The following is a 21,718-nucleotide window of genomic DNA, read 5'->3' as shown; positions in this document are numbered from 1 at the left end:
AATGGGAGTGAGAAAGATAAAATGGACGGAAACTGCAATCTGGTAAATAAATGCATTCTCTCATAATTTGTAGAAGTGGTGAGAAATCGGAAGCACGCACATCAGAAATAAAAAGAATTAATCACGTCAACCTCTGTATTCTTCTTGGTAAAGCACCAAGTTTTAAACAATAGTCCTGTTAAATGATATAAATGGACATATAAATTCGTGAATATAATAAAGTAAAAGGGGAAAAAGGTGGAGGAAAGTGGTTAAAATAATCACTGACTATAATTATGCTTTTACTTAAATAATAATTCCTTTTTGGGAAATACTATTTTAGACTCTTGTGCAGGCAGAGATGGTTCCTCTTAGGATTTCGATCTGCCCGTGACTGGGAAGCTAGCAAGACGTCTTTGCAACCTCCCTTGCTCCCTTCTCCCTTCTTGGCGAAAGTCACCCCTGGCTATGGGCCCTGATGATGCTCTTGACCAGCATTGAATACTGGGGAAAATGAGCTACTCCCAACTCACACGCACACACCACCATCACCGCCATCACCACCGTCAGCAGTAACAACAATAAAGTTAGGCCAGGTGCGGTGGCTCACGCCTGTAATCCCAGCACTTTGGGAGGCCAAGGCGGGTGGATCACGAGGTCAGGAGATCGAGACCATCCTGGCTAACACGGTGAAACACCATCTCTACTAAAAATATAAAAAATTAGCCGGGCATGGTGGCGGGCACCTGCAGTCCCAGCTACTCAGGAGGCTGAGGCAGGAGAATGGCATGAACCTGGGAGGCGGAGCTTGCAGTGAGCCGAGATCGTGCCACTGCACTCCAGCCTGGGCGACAGAGTGAGACTCCGTCTCAAAAATAAATAAATAAATAAAATAAAATTAATGACTAGTATTCACTTTATGTTTGATCTTCCTACATTGAGCAACCCGCCCCAGTACATTTTTCTTAAACCTTTGATACCCATTACTGCCTTTCTTCTGTTTCACAAGAAACTTGCCAGCAGATAATAGCATGAATGGGTAAGCAGAAATAAGCAGTAGGGGTGAAATGCCAAAGCAGTCGATTATCTAATAATCATAATAAGTAACATTTAACAGTGCTTGTGGTGTGGTGCCTGGATGTTCTAAGCACTTTGCATGGATCAATTTATGTTTGCCTTACAGCAGTGCCTGAAGAGGCAAGATGCTATTTTCATCCTTGGCTAGTAATAGGTACATACGTTTGACAGGATGCATGTGTCTGTTCCTTTGTAGATGTAACCTGTGAATGTGTTTTATTTTATATACACATACCGTTTTTTTTTTTTTAACTTTTAAGATCATCCCTAGTTGATATGCTAGAACTGCACTCTCCAATATGGTAGCCACCAGCCACATGTGGCTATTGGTTATTTAAGACATGGCCAGTGTGAAATGAGATGTGCTGTAGGTGCAAAATGCACACAAGACTTTGAAGACAATATAAAAAATAAAAAAATGTAAAATGCCTCTTTAATATTTTTAATTGATTGGTTGTTGAAATATATTTGAGATATCATGAGCTAAATAAAATTACTAAAATTGATTCTACATATTTCTTCTTGATTTTTAAAAATGTGGCCACTAGTAAATGTAAAATTACCTATTATGTGGCTTGCTTCGTATTTCTACGGGATAGCACCAGGCTAGAAGTACATGTTCCATGGTCCTCTGCCAGCCAAATCAGGTTGAGAATGCATGCTTGGTTAGGTGTCAGTGGTCTTGGTTAGGCAAAGGTGTTACTTCTCGCAGGTGTGTTTTTATATTAAAATCCAGATTTTGATCTAAACTAGTAGTTTTCACAGCAGAAGCACCTTGGAAGTTTAAAATAAATATGGCTGGCTGGGTCGCCTCTGCAGAGATTCTGATGGTCTGGGCAGCTGGGGCATTGGGAGTTTTAAAAGGCTCCGGGTGACTTCAAGCTGACAGCCAAAGCTGAGAGCCACCTATTCAAATGGAACAACGGACACTGGGTCTTGGTGACAGATAGTGTGGGCGGGTAATGTTTGCAGTGGGGCCGGGTTCACACTTTTTGAGTCTCTGGTTGGAACTGAAGAAACAAACTGTGAAAAGGATCAGAGCCTGCTTTTTGGCAAGGAGGCTTGGAATAGAGTTAAGAGCACCCTCAAACCTACTACGTGAGGGAAAACCCAGCCCACAGAATCATGGTGGGGAAATGGGAAGAAAGGGAAGCAATGGAGCTAATTATGTGTAGTGATATTTCCCCCAGGAAACCGAAGGCTGGTTACAGAGGTGAAGGCCGTCTAGGAGCTCCTCCCTGGCCACCCGTGGTCCTCAGGTTCTGAGCCCCTCTCCACAGGTGGCAGGATCTGACCACCCCCGTTCCCCAGCAGTGAGAAATGAGGGCTGGCTGTAGTAGTTCTAATGTGTGCACTCAAAGGAAATACTCAGATTCATTAATGTAATGATAGTCTAAGTGTCTTACATGCAGCCTCAGAGTTCAGGCAAATTTTACTTTTAAATGGGAGAATTTATAGCAGACTCGAGATAAGAAACTCTGCCCCCATCTCCACCCCCAACCACCTCACTCCAACTGAAGCTTCTCCAGGGAGACTTCTGAGGGGAGGCCTTGGTTACACTTTCTCAGAAATTTGGGAAGCTGAGGGGGGTAGATCCCTTGAGTTCAGGAGTTTGAGACTAGCCTGGGCAACATAGTGAGACCTCACCTCTACAAAAAATAAACACAAATTAGCTGGGCATGGTGGTGCACACCTGTAGTCCTAGCTAGTCAGGAGGCCGAGGTAGGAGGATTGTGCTTGAGCCCAGGAGGTTGAGGCTGCAGTGAGCCGAGATAGCACCACTGCATTTCATTTCAGCCTGAGTGACAGTCACACCTTGTCTCAAAAAAAAAAAAAAAAAAAAAAAGGTTACATGCCCAGACCTTTCAGAATAATTATATATATTTTTAACTTCCCATACCTACATTTCTTCCAAAGCTAGTATTCATGGGGGAAAGGTTTGTGCCAACTGCCACCATTTTTGATGTTGGAGTAAAATCGATCTTTTTCTAATCAGAACCTGTTTCTTGAGACAAATGCCAGATGTTTTCCTCCTCCCTCCCTCTCTGCCTTCTTTTTTTTTCTTTTTTTTCTTTTTGAGACTGAGTCTTGCTCTATTGCCCAGGCTAGAGTGCAGTGTCCTCATCTCAGCTCTCTGCAACCTCCGCCTCCTGGCTTCAAGGGATTCTCCTGCCTCAGCTTCCCGAGTAGCTGGGATTACAGGTGCCTGCCACCATGCCCGGCTAATTTTTGTATTTTTAGTAGAGATGGGGTTTCACATGTTGGCCAGGCTAGTCTTGAACTCCTGACCTCAAGTGATTCACCCACCTTGGCCTCCCAAAGTACTGGGATTACAGGCATGAGCCACCGCGCCTGGCCCCTCTCTGCCTTCTTTCCTTCCTTTCCTTATCACGTATTTAGGATTTTGCAATGTTAGGCGATTTCTTTCCCATATTTCCAACTGAATTAGAGTTAACCAAATGACAAAAAGTACTTTTGGTCTCAAATTCACCATCATGAAAATGGGCCGAAAAAATGAGGACACTTAGAATTTTACTATCAGATACTGCCAGATGATTAAAATGCCTGTGTTCCACACACACTGTGCCCTTCGGAGTCCTTCTTGTGCTGTTTCTGTTTCTCTGAGACTGCTGGTAGGAGACCAGGAGTGACTAGGTGTGACCAGGCATGACGGCATGAGCAGGCGTTAAAGATTGGAGCGCTGCCTCATTTCAAGTCTCTTAAAGAAGATGAAGGTAACAGCTGCCCAATGAGGACGGAACCGCATTTGTGAATGGAAGCATTCATAGCTGGGTTTCCTGTCCTTTGTATTTTCTTATAGATCTGAAGTTGTAACCTCCACATAATATGAACTACTTCAACAGTTTCTATTTCTATTCTGTGTCCCGGGGGTGTGGGGGTGGTACTAGAGTGAAAGTATTTGGCAGCGCATGCAACATAAAAAAAAAAAAAAATCCCTTCCTTTGGCCGGCGTTCAACTTTTATAACATGTTTTTATTTTTACTTTTTTGTAGGGGGAAGACAGGGTTGCTCTGTCGTCCAGGCTGCAACGCAGTGGCGGGATCATAGCTCCCCGCACCCTCAAACTCCTGGGATCAAGCGATCCTCCCACCTCAGCTATAATGTATTTTTAAATTTGGAAATGCGTTCTCCTCTTCCTCCACCCAGCATGTATATTTTTACTCTCCTCTTATTCCCTCCAACCTTCACCCAAGTCTGTTTCCTGGCAATTTGAGAAGTGAGAAATGCCTGCGTGGGGGAAAAAGTGGAGGCACATGTTGTGTTGTAATTTTAACGGGGAAACATTGCCCAATGACAAAACCAGGGACCGTCTTGTGATGTTGCTTTCTGCCCACGCTACCTTTTCCTCTTCTGAGCCCGCTCTCGTCCCACCGAAGGCTGCAAGGCTGCCTCGCATCCAGAGGCTGTGACCTGCTTTAAATCAACAAAGCATGATGATCTTAGTTTGAAGAGTTGGGAGGACAACCATATGGATTGAGCTGTCATCTTTTGGTCCGTTGTAAATATCAAAAGCAGGCAGCCCATTCAATTCTCATTCTGATCTTTACGGATCTCTCCCACTGATGAGTTAGAAACCCTTCTAAACTCATGTTTTCCTTCCTTCAGCCAGCAAGGATTTATTGAGCACTTACTATTAATATATGCCAGGCACCCTTCCAAGCATGGGGAGTATGGCAGCGAGGAGTCCAAGCCTCTGCGCTATCAATTTTGCAACAGCACTGAACTGTCACCCAGGGCATTGCAGAGGTTACGTGAGGACAGGGTGGGGCTGTCTGCAGGACCCCAGCTAACTCCGGGTTCAAATTACCTGTGATTTGCTCTAAGTCCCACTGAGCCAAGTACAGCACTAGATAACAATGAAAACACTTTCAGGTGGGAGGATGATCTTTTCCTTCTGCTCCTTAACTTTTGCCCCATATCAGGAGGAGCTTCTGAGAAATGTGAGCTTTTCTGCTCACCCCCACGATACATTGTCTAACCACAAACCCTGGTTCGGATTTCATCTGTCCATGACACTGCGTGGTGCATGAATATATTCTTACTCTAAAGAAAAAAAAAAACAGCCAAAGGATATTTCAAAAATTATTTTCACACATGATTATCATACAGTATTACAATGTATTATGTGCAAAATTCCATTTAAAAAATCATTTACAAAAGTACAACACAGTATGTGCTGAGGGTTCTAGTTCAACAAAAGCCAAGGCTAAAAAAGGTACAAGGTACAAAGCCAACCAAATGAGATGACTATGCATCTTTACACAGTACAATAACATGTTTTTGTAACTACCTGTGTTACGTGGATACAAGACCCTCATAGTTTGTGCACCTGCAAACTGGTTTTATTTAACATAAGTTTAATTTCACTGCAGGTTCTGATAATGTAGATTGATTTTTTTGTGCATTTTCAAATTCTTCTCCATTATATAGCATCTTATTTAACTCAACAAAAGCCACATTATACATTACTTGGTTTCTGGTCCCAATAATTTGATGCTGTTAAGTTTTAATTTGTATGGAAAAGGGAGAAAAGTGTTCTTCTTGATTTTTATTTTCCTCAAGGGGCTTTCAAAATTGTTTCTACAAGCAAATCACACATGGAATAGATTTTGCCAAACCTCACTGCATATTTACAGTATTTTAAGCATAGGTGGTTCCTTCTATCTCTTTTTCTACATCTTTTGAAGAGCCTGAACCAGCAGACTGCACTCCTCAGTCCTTTGTTAGAGTTCATATTTCTCTCTCTACCTCTCTCTACATTCATTTCTCTCCTTATTCTCAGCATCATTTGTTTAAAAAACAAAACAGCAAAACACCACTAAACGTGAACAAGAGAACAGTACATCCGATTTCCAAAGGCATTCTGTGGCCAGTGTCAGGAATACGTTGCTTTAAGAAATCCAGCAGTCTCTCCCCACAAAGTTGCCAAAACATCCAGTTACAGAAGAGAGACTTTAAAAATGCAATACTCTCAAATCCAGCAAGAGATTTATTTTTGAATATTAAATGTTAAAATCACATGCATAATTATAGAATATTTTAAAGTTACAAAAATATTTTAAAACCAATCCTGACAGTTTACCTGCAACTGCTATAAAAATTTCTATGAAATATATAAAAACATGAAGGCTCTTTGTAAAAAAAAAAAAAAAAAAAAAAAAAAGGAAAAAGAAAGGAAGGAAGGCAGGGATGAAGCCATCCACAGGAGTGAGAATCACCTGACGCACTGCATCGCAAGCATCTGCTGTTGAATTCAAAAGAACTTGTATCTTAAGTGTTTCTTCTGCACATATACATACCTGTAAGCCAACCTAGAACCTGACTGGGGGTAGGTAGCAAACAATCTCAGGACACTTGAACCATCAGATGCAATTCTCCATTGCCAAAAGAGAATCCTACTGTTTCACAAACCTCAGCTACCTTGCGTGGCTAAAGTTGCCCTTGGCCGAGTTGGCCTGTGGATGGCTTAGTCACTACACTGAGGGGTCCCCGAGGAGGTGACTGCTTTTCAAGCTCAAGCATGTAGAAGCGGGAAGGCAAGGCTTCCAGCTCCCCTTTGGATGCACCACTGGGAAGTCCCGCCTGTCTTCTAGGAGGTGGTGAGGTCTTCTTCCCCGTTCTGGAAAATGATGCCATAAGGATCGTTCTTGATGCGTTTGTAGACAAAGTGGAAGATGTGGGGCTGTGGTCGGCTGTGCAGCTCCGCCTTGATTTTTTGAGGGTAAGTGTCCTCTGCCAGCTGCTGCCATGTCTCGTCAACGAAGAGAAAGAGGCTGTACTCCTCAGGGTCCCCCACCTTGAACTTCTCAGCGCAGATCTGACACACATCCTCAGTGGTGATGTAAGGTCTCACAAGGAGGGTCTTTCCTGTGCAACCACTGTTGACCTCCTGAAATGCAACTCGGAGGTAATTCTGCAGGTGGAAGAGGAATGTTGAGACAGTCAGAAGAGAAAACTAGATAGTGAGCATGATGGGGGACCAGGGGAGGGGGTAACTGTAAGCCATTTCCAGGCCCTTTCCTGTCATAATGTCCGATGTCAGGCCACGAGGCTTCGAATGGCAAGGAAAGAGGCTGATCTGACTTTGGACAGTGGCGAAGATGACTACATGATTCATTGCAACTGTAAGAAGCAGGAAGTCCATGCAGCCCTGGTTCTGATCTTTCCATTTCCCTCATAAGGTCTGGTTAAGAAACCCCTGCTTAAGAGTGTGAACCACATCCAATGCTGGGTTTATTCCCAGCTTGAAAACTAAACCAAATAGCACAAGAGTATGAAGGAAGTCAGCAGAAAGAGATTTAAAATATCTAGACACAAAAGCACGTACTGTGCTCACTTTTTGTTTTCTTCTTTTCATTTTAAGAGATGAGATCTCACTATATTCTCCAGGCTGGACTCATACCGCTGGGCTCAAGTGATCCTTCTGCCTCAGCCTCCTGAGTAGCTAGGTGTACAGGTGCATGCCACTGTACCTGGCTTGTGTTCACTTTTGACAAACTTTTTAAATAAATCCTAAGCAAGGGCAATCATTTAGGTTGAATCACACACACACAAAATGCGCTGACTTTTGACTATTTTTTATCTCCCCCAAATGGTGATTTCATGTAGTTCAATCTAATACAAGGCTCCTAGTGGCTCTGGGCACAATGTGGAAAAAGTCAGAAGGAGAAGAATGTTGATTTTGCCAAATACTTTGCAGATGGAGCTGATTACATGCAAGGTGGTGCTGCAGGGAATTAAACAAAGACGTTTGCAGGCTCAGGTGCTGCAATCATGCCAGGTACATGCTATCATGAAACATGTAAACCTGTGGCCTTACAAGATACAAAGCCCAGACCAGGCATAAAGAATCTTAAACTCACATCAGGCTCTCCTAGATTTTGTGACCCCAGATAACTTTGCTTCTGTTTCCTTAACAGTGGAGTTATCAGATGAAATCTAGAACAGCCAGTTAAATTTGAGTTTCAGCTAGAAAACAAATAGATTTTTTTCTGCTAAATCTGGCAACCCTGCTCAGCAGTGAAGGGAAGGAGGGCTCTCTGCCCAGGTGCCTGCAAGGTCACCACGAGGGTTTCCTGGGATAACAGAAGGGAAAGCTCTTGGGAAGGACAGTGAGCTCTGCACATGTAAGATATGTTTCATATCTGCTTCCAGTGGGGACTTTTGCTAGCCCAGTGACTTTGCAGGAGAGGTGAGCTAGTGGGAGGTGCCCAGATTGACAGTGACACTCTTTGAACCTTTTTTTTTAAGAGACAGGGTCTACATAATCCCTGTTTGACTAGTGCAGAAACTGAGGCACAGAGAGGCTACGTAACTTGCCCAAAGCCACACAGCTAGGACGTGGCAGATGCAGCCCCACCGCCTTTACCACCAAGACGTACTACCTCTTCCCATGTGAGAAGACCTCTGTGTCTGTGGCCTCTGATTTAGGGGTTCCAGATGGAGCTTTGGGTCTGAGGTTTTGCTTTGACCCCTGAGCCGAGTGCTGAACATTTCCTTCTTCGGTTACACTCTGAGAAGGCATGCACCTCCAAGGTGAGCAGGGTCAATGAGGGCAGGAGGGGACGGCTGCAGAAGAAGGCAGCTCTATGGTGTCTGAGGGTCTCCAGGTGAAGAGGTGGAGGAGGGTGTGTTGGCAGGTGGGGAAAGGAACAATGAACTTTTTTCACTTCCTCTGTTCTGCCCTAGGCAGCCCCTCCCTGGATGGCTATATGATGGCACCCCAGGGGTCTGCAGGCACTGAGTGGCACAGGGACCTTCTTAGTGCAACAGGGTGGGGAGAGTGCAGTGCGTGTATTCTCACTCTTTAGGTTTATGCGCTCCAGAAGGAATTTCTGAGCATACTGCAATCATGGAGAAGAATGAGCTGATCTTGGCTTTCAAAGATGGGCTTGCCTTTTTGTTTGTTTGTTTTTGATACAGGGTCTCATTCTGCTGCCCAGGCTGGAGTGCAGTGGTGTGATCATGGCTCACTGTAGCCTCAAACTCCTGGGCTCAACGGATCCTCCCACTTTAGCCTCCTGAGTAGCTGGGACTACAGGTGTGCACCACTACGCCTACCTAACTTGAAAATTTTTTGTTGTGGTTGTTTTGTCGAGATGGAGTCTCACTTTGTTGCCAAGGCTGGTCTCCAACTCCTGGCCTCAAGCGATCTTCCTGCCTTAGCCTCTAAGGTGCTGGGATTACAGGCATGAGCCACCTCATCTGACCCTCTATTTTCAGAGCTCTTATAAAAAAAAAAAATGGCCAGGCGCAGTGGCTCACGCCTGTAATCCCAGCACTTTGGGAAGCTGAGGCGGGTGGATCAGTTGAGGCCAGGAGTTTGAGTCCAGCCTGGCCACCACGGTGAAATCCCATCTCTACTAAAAATACAAAATAAATTAGCCAGGTGTGGTGGTGAGCACCTGTAGTCCCAGCTACTCCGGAGGCTGAGGCAGGAGAATCGTTTGAACCTGGGAGGTGGAGGTTGCAGTGAGCAGAGATCGTGCCACCACTGCACTCCAGCCTGGGTGACAGAGCGAGACTCTGTCTTAAGAAAAAAAAAAAAGCAGGTGAATCTGGATGTGTAGACAAATCTGTCTTGCTTTCCACATCCCTGCTTGGAAACTCATCATGGGGAACATAGAAACAAACCACAGGAAGGTTTTATCATTTAATTTAAAACCTTCAAAATATTATTTGCAGACATTTGCCAACTCACTCATTATTTCATAGACAATGAGCAAATCAGGAATTGTGTTGGGTAAGGATTTCTTTGTTTCTTTTTTGAGACTAAGTCTCACTCTGTTGTCCAGGCTGGAGTGCAGTGGCGTGATCTCGGCTCACTGCAACCTCCATCTCCTGGGTTCAAGCGATTCTCCTGCCTCAGCCTCCCAAGTAGCTGGGATTACAGGTGCCTGCCACTACACCCAGCTAATTTTTGTATTTTTAGTAGAGACAGGGTTTCACCGTGTTGGCCAGGCTGGTCTCGAATTCCTGACCTCAGGTGATCTGCCCACCTTGGCCTCCCAAAGTGCTGGGATTACAGGCGTGAGCCCTGATGCCTGGCCTTGGGTAAAGATTTCTATAGCCCTAACCCACCTGTCCATTCTAAGAAACAAGCTCACTGGGAGTCCCACATTCCCAAGCAGCAGCTCACGGTCAGGAAAAGCCCTGGCCAGGGAACCTGAGCAGGACTCGCTCAGATGCTCGCCTGGTCACTCTGCGCCGTGGACGGCTGCCATAGCTGTTGCTGCTGCTGCTGAGATTCTGGGGTCTTCTGTTTTGGAGAGTGGGCGAGAGAAAAGGGAAGGAGACATCGCTGTTCCTCTCCCTCTTCCCAAAGAGAAACTAGGCCAATTGCATCGCGTAACACAGCGGCTGTTTCCTGATGAAACAAAATCTCCAACGTCTGTGCCAAGTGCTTCCTCCTCCTTTTTGACTTATCGTCTGCTTGATTGGGCAGAGATTCTGCCTTAATTCAACTTGGTTTTCTTAAAGACAGCAAAACTTGGGCCAAGTATCCCATGCGTATATAAATGTAAAGAAAACAGATCAGTGTAACAAGGCCAGAGGGTGGTTTGAGATATCCCTTTCCTGCCAAATAATTCAACACAGTGGGGACCTCTGAGCTGGGATGTGCTGGGTGAGCCAGCTCCGCATTCCTGGAGGACGAAGGAAGCAAAGGGGTGGCCAGCTGCACACCTGGAAGTCGTCCACAGAGGGGATGGTCCGGTTGGTGGTTCTCCGTTTGTGCCACTGCCTCAGGGTGTCTCTGGTTTCTGAGCTGAGCAGTCGCGCTGCTTGTTCTTCTTGGAAATTCTTTATCAGAGAAAGTGCTCCATATGCGCTTGTCAAGTAATAGCCTCCTGAAAAGAGCAGAAAGAGTGGGTCCTCCCAGTGCCAACCTCCGCTCACGGGTGATAACAGGGGATGCCAGCGTTAGAAGGCATGTTTTGTATTTTTAGTATTTCTTCAACATGCATTTCCTTGTGGGATCACAGAAGCACACACCCAAGAGCATGGCACTCACTCCTCCATCCATCCCTTCACACAGCCATCCCACAGAGATTTCTGGAGCGACCCAGGCCTGGGAGGGGCCAAGGGGGCACAGACAAGCCAGGCTGACAAGGTTCCTGTTTTTCAATGATGGGATTTCCATTCTAGTGCGTGAGACTGACCAAGCCACTAAAGTGTTTTTTTTGTTTGTTTGTTTTTTTGTTTGTTTGTTTTTGAGACGGCGTCTTGCTTTGTCACCCAGGCTGGAGTGCAGTGGCACAATCTCAGCTCACTGCAACCTCCGCCTCCCAGGTTCAAGCGACGCTCCCACCTCAGCCTCCCGAGTGGCTCGGATTAAAGGCATGCACCACCACGCCTGGCTAATTTTTGTATTTTTAGTAGAGATGGGGTTTCACCATATTGGCCAGGCTGGTCTTGAACCTTGGCCTCAACTGATCCACCTGTCTCGGCCTCTCAAAGTGCTGGGATTACAGGCATGACCACCATGCCCAGCCGAAATTATTAAAGTGCAATTATGAAAAATGTTTGCCAGGAGTAGTTGGGGTATTAAGGCCTGACGGGGAGGTGGGGGGAAAGTCAGGCGTGTGAGGTGATCCAAGGCCAGTATCCCCTCCATCAGTCCAGACTCGTGGCAACACTTGCTCTTGGCTTTTTCTTTTAGAAATTGATATTTTCTATCTCTGATAAACAAGAATTTGGTTTAAAAAAAAGTAAAAAGGAAAAAACGCAATGAGTATTTTCTAAATCTTAAGTAAACTATACACTTTGAAAGAACTGTTCGCAAAAATGTGGACACTTCAAAAATAATTTCTCTCCCTTGATTCCCTTTCTTACCCCCCCCTTCCTTTGGGACTAACATAACATCTGGCATTTAGGATAAAATAATTTACAGGAAAGTGATGTTCCTGTGATGGTGTATTTAGGAATGATCTCTTATGTTCTTGAGGAGTGTAAAAAGGGCTGACGACACTGTAAGATGTGTATGTATTCCTTCATAGTTTTTGTCCTAACATATAATTAGGTGCCTGGGGAGGAACTTATGGTCTCTGCGCTGAAGAGCCACTAGGGGTCGCCCTGAATGTTTATTAAAAATTCCCTAATTGGGCACAGCATATTTTAGATTTAGAGACATTCTTTGTCAAAATACTCATTGAATCTCTACTGTGAGCCACAGCTACAGAGAAGAAAGTAGGTTTGTAAGAAATAGAATCTGAGTCCCCACTCTCCAGAAGTTTATGAATGTGTTTTGTTTTTTTTTTTTTTTTTAAAAAAAAAACAGACACTGGCAATTTATTCCTGCAGGGACCAGAAGTTAGTTTGGCGAAATGAGTTTTGTGCAGAAGTGTCACCTTTAGGGCCAAAGTATTTAGCTTTATTCATGTGAGACCCTGCAGAAGCCTCTCTCTGGTCAATAAGTGGCAATATGCAAGATGGCAACTGTCCCCTCCATGTGGATCAGGAGCCACACGCCCTGCAAACTCGTGCTGGACATGAACACGAGAAAGAAAAATACCCTTCTTGTTTTCAGGTTGCAGATGAAGACTTGAGGTTATTTTTTCCCGCGGCATAATCTGGGTCACCCTGAGCCATGCACTTTCCATTGATCACATGTCAAGCTTTTTGTGTATAGAGTGATCTGAAGGGTTTTCCAGACCTTGCCACCTACAGTATAATCACCCTAGTTAAGAGTTTTGAATTGTTGATCTTTACCAAATATTCGCCCCACAAACAAATCAGCATGTGACTGTGTGTGAAACTCAGTAATCCAGAATACAGATGCTACATGGAGAATTTCAGGAGAAATCAATATGAACATAAGTATTCAGGAAAGGCCGTATGGAGGGTCAGGATTTGAGCAAGGACTCGGAGAACTGTTACAATCTTTGTGGGGGTGGAGGGGGGCTCCTTTGGACTTCAAATTTTAGACTCCCTAGCTCTCATCTGTTCAGGACGCTAAGGAGAAAACTCAAATGCTGGAAGCACAAAATTGACCACACTTTGAAACATGTGGATGCAATTAGAGAAGGTTTTAAATTTCAGCAAGACTATAACCCTACCACAAGAGCTGTGCACTTCTAAGGGATTCTATGACGCCTTTTTGGTAAATGAGAATACCTGCTTAAACAGCGGAAAACAGACGTGGCTGCTACCCCGCAAACCAAAGAGGACTTTGGGCAGGCACGGAAAAGTCCAATCTGTATTTTTGCCACTGCTCAGTAGCCTCTTCCTCCCAGGCTGCATAGCTTCAGTTCGATGCTGTGCAGGCCTGGTCTGTGATCACAGCCAACCCAACTGGGCCGCCTACTTCCCAAGGAAGGCAGCCAAGAAGCCCCAGACACGGTTAAGTGGAAGCAGGCTCTATTTAAGTGCGAGCTCACCAGCAGCTTTTGTATCCTCACTAGCTGTGCCCTTGTCTTTCTTGTGGGATTCGTGGAGGAGAAGACAGCCACCTGTCCATTAGTCATCAACACAGGGCCTTGCCCTGGGCCAATCTGGGAAAGGGGCAGGAAGTAGCTGTTTCTATCCTTGAGCCACAAGATACAAGCAATGTTTGTCCTGAGTGCACATTGTCAGCAACAGAATCGACTTTCTAAGTGAAACCGGCGTGTCTTTTTCCCCAAAGCCCTAAGAGCTCTACATACTTATATTACTAGAATTAAACATGATCGAAGCTCGAAAAAGAATAACCAAACCCCAAACTGTATTAATAACAAACATTACAGTGGAAGGAAGGAAAGCATGCTATGTAGACTAACATGCTTCTCTTGGTCCCTGGGCAAAACCACATGTTTGGCCTTGTCCTGTCTAATCCCAGGGCAGAGCAGGCAAGAAAAGCTCCAGGGAGGGCCTTGGAGGCTCATCGGGGAGTGTCTGGTTCCATGGTTAGTAATATTAATAAGGGGACAGAAGAGGCTAAAGGGTGAAAGCATGAAAGAGGCCCATTCATACCTGCCTGGGATCGGGTACGGGAGGAGAGATATTCATCCCCCATCCTGAGTCAGCACTACCCATGGTCACGTGGGAAGGGCATAATCGGGCTCCAAGGAGGGCGGTCCCTCCGACAGGAAAAGTTAAGGCCTGGTGAATTCACATTACAGGACTGAGGAGACTAAGGGGGCACATTCTGGGGGTGGTAAAAATGCATTTCATTCCCTCCAGGGAAAATGCTGGGATGACTCATTCCTTAGGGAATCCTGTCAGAGATGGACCTTTCTACTCAAGCCCAGACTGAAACTCACGGGAAAAAAAAAAACGAAACCGTGACAATCCCCCCCAGGGCTTGTCTGGGCTTTTATCTGGATATATAAAAATGGATTAAGAGGATTCACAGTGCACAGGCCCTGATTTGTTCTCCTTTGAAAAGATAAGCTCACATAGAGTCCCAGTTATTTCTGCGTTTCAAGGCTGTGCACTACTGTGCCAAACATCCTAATCATTTCCATGTAAAATACCTAAGCTATGTGTAAGGAGAAGGAATTTCTGCTAAGACATGTTGGGGTTAGGCAGACACAAGGAGAAGGAACCCGAATGCCAACGTAAATTGAGAGCAAACTGCACAGATTCCACACCCCTGTATTTTTACTATAAAAATGAAAAGATACTTAAAAAAAACTGGAAAAAAATTAATACTGTTTTCACCTTGAAAACGAAATTTTAAAAAATAAAAACAAAGCCAAGCTTTTATCCATTTCACTAATATAAGAGCAGGTTATTTTCCTGGCAATGGAAATATCCTCAACAAAAGTTTATAATTTCCTCTTGGAGCCAAAGAAACCATTTCTTCCAAAAAAAATGGCATTTATTCTACTGAATGTATTTTTTTTATTGCCATTAAGCAATCTTAGTGAAGTATAGTTAAGATGGGGTTATATTTTTTCTTTGTGTTTTTCCTGACTTTTCCAAATTTTCTACCACGAGTGTGTATTACTTTTGCAATCAGAAAAAGGTTAGTACACTCTTTTAAATTAATAAAAAATTCAGTTAACACTTAAGATGTCAAAAAAGCACCCAAGTAACTGCTTCATGGGTGCAGAATTTTATTTTAGGGTGAGGAAAATAGTTTGACACTAAATAAAGGTGGAGAATGCATGACATTGTGAATATACTAAATGCCACTGAATTATTCACTGTAAAATGATTAATGTTATGTGACATGAATTTCGTCTCAATTATAAAAAAATGAAAAAAATAGCACCCAGTTCCTTCAACTTTTCTCAAAAGCAGTTACCTTCTCCATGTAACAGCGATGGGTCTAGGAGCTCCATCATGTACTCGATTTCAGTGTCCAATTCAAGCATGTCACACTGGGCTATGACATAGGTCAGGACTGGCAAGAAGTCATCAGCGCCATACATCCTCCCTGAGAGCAGGAAGAGAAGGAGATGGAATATTTTTACCAACTTTTCTTTCTTTCACATCCTTCTTGCTGCTTTTATTAGACAGCAAGGAGTCACTCTGGGGGGAACTGTGCTATTTATAAACAGAGGTGAGTGTTTCTGGAATCCTATGTAGCCTCTGACCCTCCCAGCTGCTAATGTTAGAGACCAGCCCTTACAGTTTCAGAATGAATGTCTATGAACCAATGAACACATTACAGATTTTCTCCCTACTTTTATAATTTGTATAAAATTATGTGATAGAACAGAATACTCGTTAAAATATTTTAACTTTCAGCAAACAAGATTATAAAATGCTTACAAAATATTTACTTATGCTAATTCTTTGTGTCTTACTTCCTCTTTCTTGCTGTGCACATTATTTACAAACATAATGACAAGGTCAAACTCAAACCAGGAATAAGCTAACTTTGCTCTGTATTTAATGTGAGCACACAGTTAATTTCTTTAAACGTGCCAATTCAGTACATGTTGAATATACACATTGATTAATGGAAATATATGGCAAAAAATGTTAGTGTTTACTTCTAGTTTTCTTTACATCAGTGGTTCTCAACTGGAGATAATTTTGTCCCCCAGGGGACATTTGGCACTGTCTGAAGACATTTTTCATTGACATAACTGGAGGGTGGGGATGCAGATGACATCTGGAATGCTGCTAAACTTCCTACAGGAAGCAGGGCAGCCCCCAAAAGAAGAATTATCCTGTCTACATTAATGTCTTTAGTGTGTGTGTTGAGGAACTGTGCTTCAGAAGAGCATAATCCTTCTGAATTATTTGGGGAATTCAGATATTCAGATATTATTTGGGGAATTTTTATAAATAACTGTGAACTATAGAAAATATGTTTCCTATATGTGAAATATGCTTGCAAACTTGTGAGGTGATGTTCACTTGCTATCATTACCACGCCCAGGAGCTCATATTTTAACTTCTTCACTCAACAATTCCCAAAGTGCACACACATTCCTGTCTACTCAAGCAGTGGTTAATACAGCCTGTGTTTTCTCTCTGCTGCTTCTCCATTAAGCAATTTCACTCAGAAGAAAAGTTCGTAATCGTCTTCAGAATTACAATAAGCTTACTGAAGACCTGGGACAATGCAGGGCTCCATTACTATCCAGGATTCATGGTTACCCCTGCATCTACAGGAAACAACAAGGCTAAATCTGAGGGCTGGCTTTCCAAGATTGTAACTCTTCGGTGAATTTCAATTATATTGCTTCAGCTTGTAGCAAAGAAGGGCTAGCCAATGAAGCGGCTCTAATGAGGCCTCATTATAACTGAATGTTCAGAGTTTCTTTCACATACTATAGGTCATTGACACAAACCCTCATTGGCCAAAATGTTGTAATGATAATCGCTGACATTTCCATTGCACTTGGGGCTATGTGTGGGCTGTCTCAGCTAATCCCCACCTCATGAAAGAAAGGGTGACATCCGGCTAAAGACGCAGAAAACTACAGCGTGCAAGGTTGATTAAGGGGGCCAAAGTCCCTCAGTTAATTTTCTTCTTCTCGGAGGGAAGATTTGAACTCAGACTCCAGAGACTGAATTTGTAACCATACTCTGAACTAAATCTTTAATTAAATCGGCCTGGTACAAAAATCTTGTTGCCCTCATCTGCTTACATTTTAATCTGTTGCATGTGACTAATGTGCCGGATATCAGAGAATCACTTGTAGTTCTGTAAGCCACTTGGTGAAATCAAGAGACCAAAGGGAGGAGAAATTGGGAATCAGAAAGCCTGACAGGAGAGAGGCCTGTCCCCGGCCCGGAAGGGAAGCGGCACGAAGCCTGGGCTTCCAGCGGCCTCACCTGAGTTGTTCTCCATGACCGTGTAAATGAGCTTGCAGACCCGCAGCAGCAGCATGACCTTCTTTTCCGGCGAATACATCTTCTGCATGGTCATGAACTTGACTTTGATTTTCTCCACATCCACAAAATCAGGGGTCGGGGCGAAGACCCCCAGCTCCTGCGGATTCCTCTGCCGCACAAGCTGCAGGTTCTCCTTGAGTTGCTTCCATGAGCCATCGGCCATGTGAAAGTCCTTCAGCATGGCCTCCACGTGCCCCTTGAGGGGCTTCAAGATGCACTTGTGCATGGCTTTTTCCAGCACCACATCTGCCAAAGAAAGTGTAGCTACTATGACTATTGTCTGAAGAAAGAAGAAATGCAACATCTGCTTTCTTACAATGGACATCTGCAACTCTATGCATTGGTTGCAGGCACACAAATTGTACACCTTAACATCCAACCAACAGACAACACCAAGCAGCGCCATAACTCACATGTTAACATTTTTCTCTGAAAAGCCAGGAAGACCGAATCTTCCCCAATGATGTCTAACTTGCATATAATCAATACAATGAAATATATTTGTTTTAATTACTTTCATGCCCTATCCCTGTAAGTACAGGCAAATATGCTAGAAGACATTCTTTTGACCTAGTCCTTCAACTGGTCATCCAATTAACAGGAGAGCAAAGATGTTATCTTAAAGGAAGGATTTTCTAATAATGAGCATTCAACATCTCTTAGAATATTTTCTGAGGGCCAGGCGTGGTAGCTCACATCTGTAATCCCAGCACTTTGGGAGGCTGAGGCAGGCAGATCATTTGAGGTCAAGAGTTGGAGACCAGCCTGATCAACATAGTGAAACCCCATCTCTACTAAAAATACAAAAAAATTAGCTGGGCATGGTGGTGCACGCTTGTAGTCCCAGCTACTGGGGAGGCTGAGGCAGGAGAATTGTTTGAACCCAAGAGGCAGAGGTTGCAGTGAGCCAAGATTGTGCCACTGCACTCCAACCTGGGTGACAGAGTGATACTCCATCTCAAAAAAAAAAAAAAAAAAAGAATGTTTTCTGAGGAAATAGATCCACCTAAATATAGTATGTGATCTTGGATCAGATTCTGGACTAAAAAATTCTTCATTTGCTATAAAGGACATTAGTGGGGCATCGAATACAGCCTGCAGATAAGGTAATAGTGCTAACAAGGCATCAGTGTTAATTTTCTAGGTCTGATAATTATACTGTAGTTATTAAACAGAATAGCCTTGTTTTTAGGAAATATGCATTGAAGTATTTAGGGGTAAAGGGATATAATGTCTGCAACTTAAATGGTTCAGAAAAAATGAGAGACAGTGTGTGTGCACGTATTTGTGTGCATGTATGTGTACGTGCATGTATCTGTGTGTGTGCACGCGTGTGTGTGTGTGTGTGTGAAGAGAGAGAAAGAAGAATGAGGCAGATGTGGCGAAGTGCTAACATTTGGGAATCTGAGTGAAGGGTAGATATTTCTTTATGATATTTTTGCAACTTTCCTGGAAATCTGAAATGATTTCAAAATTAAAAGTTAAAAATGTGTGAAATGTGTTTCTGTTCCGAGTTAGGAAACACCTTTGGGTGTGGGAGGCGTTATTCTTCCCTCCTTCATTGAATGGTTTCCCAGTGGAGTAGCTTTCTTGGCTAATACTAAAATGACCAGTACCATAAATCCAGAGATGCGGGCTGAAGGCTATTTATATAATAATAACTCCTCTGCTTTGTCAATAGCAGCTTTTTGACCTCACACGTTTGCACATTCTCATCTGAGCCCCTTGGGTTCTGCTGCAGCATCTACGCATAAAATGATGACACCTTAATTTTATTCCATTTGGGAAGCCAATGGGTCCACTTACATATAAGATCAGAAATAGTTAAGTTAGGCCAGGCATGGCGGCTCATGACTGTAATCCCAGCACTTTGGGAGGCTGGGGTGGGCAGATCACTTGAGGCCAGGGGTTCAAGACCAGCCTGGCCAACACAGCGAAATCCCATCACTACCAAAAATACAAAAAATTAGCTTGGCGTTGTGGCGCACACCTGTAATACCAACTACTCTGGAGGCTGGGGCATGAGAATCTCTTGAACCCTGGAGGCAAAGCTTGCAGTGAGCCGAGATCCTGCCACTGCACTCCAGCCTGAGTGACAGAATGAGACTCTGTCTCAAAAGAAAAAGCAAAAGAAATAGTTGAGTTGTCTCTCTGGCCTTTGGAATTCCTGACGCTGGATCAGATCTTATTGAATTCAAATGATTACCTATTATTAGAAGGCCAGGGACAAAGATAAATCTAACGCAGAGGTACAAACAATGAAAACAGTCCCCCAAGGTTAAAACTGAGGCCAAAAGTTAACGCTGACCCCACAATCATCAGATTCCCCAGCCCAAGTTGTTTTTTTCTTTCTCCTCTTCCAACTTATCCAGGAGATCTCTTTGTTTAAATACAAAGGTTTATATAACTATAGAAATCAAGGTTGATGCGAAGGAGGTTATAAAGTAGGAAAAAAAGCAGAACAACTTATTCACATCTGGCATTAAAACAAATTACTTGGTTTACATTGGTTGCTTTGTGTTAATAAGCTCGTGCAACTTCATAGCATCTTTGACTTTACCTTATATCATCATTATGATAAAAAATTAATAACAGAAATTAATATTGAGTGCTCAGATGGGCCAGCCTCCATCTAAGTGCTTTACTTCACTATCATCTAATCCTTGCAATAATTCTATTATTTTTGCACAATACTAATATTATGTCCGTTTAACAGATGGGGAAACTGAGGCTCAGAGATGACTAATGGCTTGATAGAAGCCACACAACTATTTTAAATAACCATTTATACAGCTTTTCAAAGTAAATAATCTTTTAATTGTAAAGTTCAAGTCACTTTATAAATACTCGCCAGTTTATTCCTCTCATCCAAACATTCTGAAAGCTACATTCATGGTTGTAAGTGACCACTACTTGGTTAAAATAGGGTCACCACGGGAGGACAAAGGCCATGTCAGTCATTAATTAGAAACGTAAATGAATGTCCATAGTAATGTTATTTATAATAGCCCCAAGCTGGAAATAACCCAAAGGCCCATTTGGACAGAAATGAATACATTGGATATATTCATTCAATGGAATACTACAATGAAATTCAGACAATGGAATGTATTTATTCAATGAAAAAGCTCACATTACTGCTCCAGAACAACATGGATGCATCTCATGAACGCAAGGCTGTGTGAAAGAACCCAGACACAAGAGTATCTCCTACAGCATTTCGTTTATATGAAGTTCAAAAGCAGGCAAAACTAACCTGTGGGACAGAAGTCATGATGGCAGTCCCCCTTGGGGAGGATCTGGGCCAGGACAGGACACCAGGGATTAGAGATGTTCTGGATCTGGATCTGGACTGTGTCTACATGGGTGTGCATGTGTGTAAAATTCTGTTGAGCCGAGTACTTAAGATTTACACACTTTATGGATGTAAGTTAAACCTCAATAAATGTATATGAATCAGAAAAACAGAAAACAACTAAAGACCTGGATGAGATTTTCACCTTGAACCCCACGGGCAACTGTTATCATCAGAGTGAGCCCGGTCACCTCTGGGCCAGAGTGTTAATACAAATCATCCCCAAAAGGCTCGCAGCTGCTTCTGGGGAATGATGACATCAGAAAAGTCGTTACTAGCAAGTTGGACAGGCTCCCTTGAGCAACTCATCCTTGCTGCCAGGGAGGGGTGCTGGCCTTCGAGGGGAATTCCACCCTTGGGTATAAAAGGGGCTGTGGAAATCTCTTAGGAGGGTTGAAACCTAGGACCAATTGCCAAGGGAGTAGCCCGTTTTCTGAAAATAAAATGAAAAAGTAATTGCTAGTGGTAGATTTTAGGACATTTTTCTTTAAAGACCATAATTTAAAAATAAGGAAACTGGTCCCTGCATTTTTTTTTCAGAGGTTTATCCCACTCCTCCTCCCCACCCTCCCCAAATCCTTAATAAACATAAAGAGTAGGGGACAAGAGCCTAAATGAAAAGAGGGACCCACGATCCAGCTGGCTCTCTCCAATAGGAAAAGCAAGCTTCTGCTCATAAAGCGAGAAGGAAAAAGGATTTGAGGAGCCCAAGGAACAGACGATCTTTCATAACATGAACCACCTCAGACAAAAGAGGAAAGAACAAATTGGTCACATTTCTCATAAATTACTACTCTCCATTTTTTTCTATGATCTCTTTTTGCATTAATCGTTAATTCCTGGACAAAAAAACAAAACCTTTTAAACTCTCAGAACAATGACACTATTCTAGCCACTTTACCTGCACTGGATCTTCAAATCCTCAGACAAACTCCATCCAGGGAGGCCTACTATGTTTTCATTTCACAGATGAGGAAACTGAAACCCAAGGACATCTTTGTCATGCAGCTA

The 21,718-nt window shown here is 43.4% G+C and overlaps 1 protein-coding gene across 19 annotated transcripts in view, besides 1 other annotated feature; it reads right to left on the bottom strand.

Annotated features, from left to right (window-relative positions):
• The window catches only part of RIN2 (Ras and Rab interactor 2), a 244,858-nt gene continuing 228,287 nt past the window's right edge, over positions 5,148-21,718 (bottom strand). For all 19 annotated transcript variants that reach the window (XM_047440212.1, XM_047440213.1, XM_017027888.2 and 16 more), the window contains 4 exons: positions 17,293-17,598; positions 15,305-15,436; positions 10,762-10,925; positions 5,148-6,991 (listed from right to left, as the gene is read on the bottom strand). In XM_047440212.1, the coding sequence (XP_047296168.1) occupies positions 6,668-6,991; positions 10,762-10,925; positions 15,305-15,436; positions 17,293-17,598 (926 nt within the window). In that variant the 3' untranslated portion in view covers positions 5,148-6,667. The remainder of the gene's footprint in view (positions 6,992-10,761; positions 10,926-15,304; positions 15,437-17,292; positions 17,599-21,718) is intronic.
• Positions 13,728-14,599: an enhancer, noted in NCBI's record as "H3K27ac-H3K4me1 hESC enhancer chr20:19973649-19974520 (GRCh37/hg19 assembly coordinates)". NCBI's record gives its function as "activates a minimal SCP1, AML or CMV promoter by ChIP-STARR-seq in primed H9 embryonic stem cells {active_cell/tissue: H9 hESC(primed)}" and the evidence as "EXISTENCE:reporter gene assay evidence [ECO:0000049][PMID:30033119]".

The sequence above is a fragment of the Homo sapiens genome, chromosome 20 (assembly GCF_000001405.40).
Source record: "Homo sapiens chromosome 20, GRCh38.p14 Primary Assembly".
Taxonomy (NCBI): domain Eukaryota; kingdom Metazoa; phylum Chordata; class Mammalia; order Primates; family Hominidae; genus Homo; species Homo sapiens.
The sequence above is the reverse complement of the archived record's forward strand: the minus strand, read 5'-3'. Positions and strand labels throughout refer to the sequence as shown.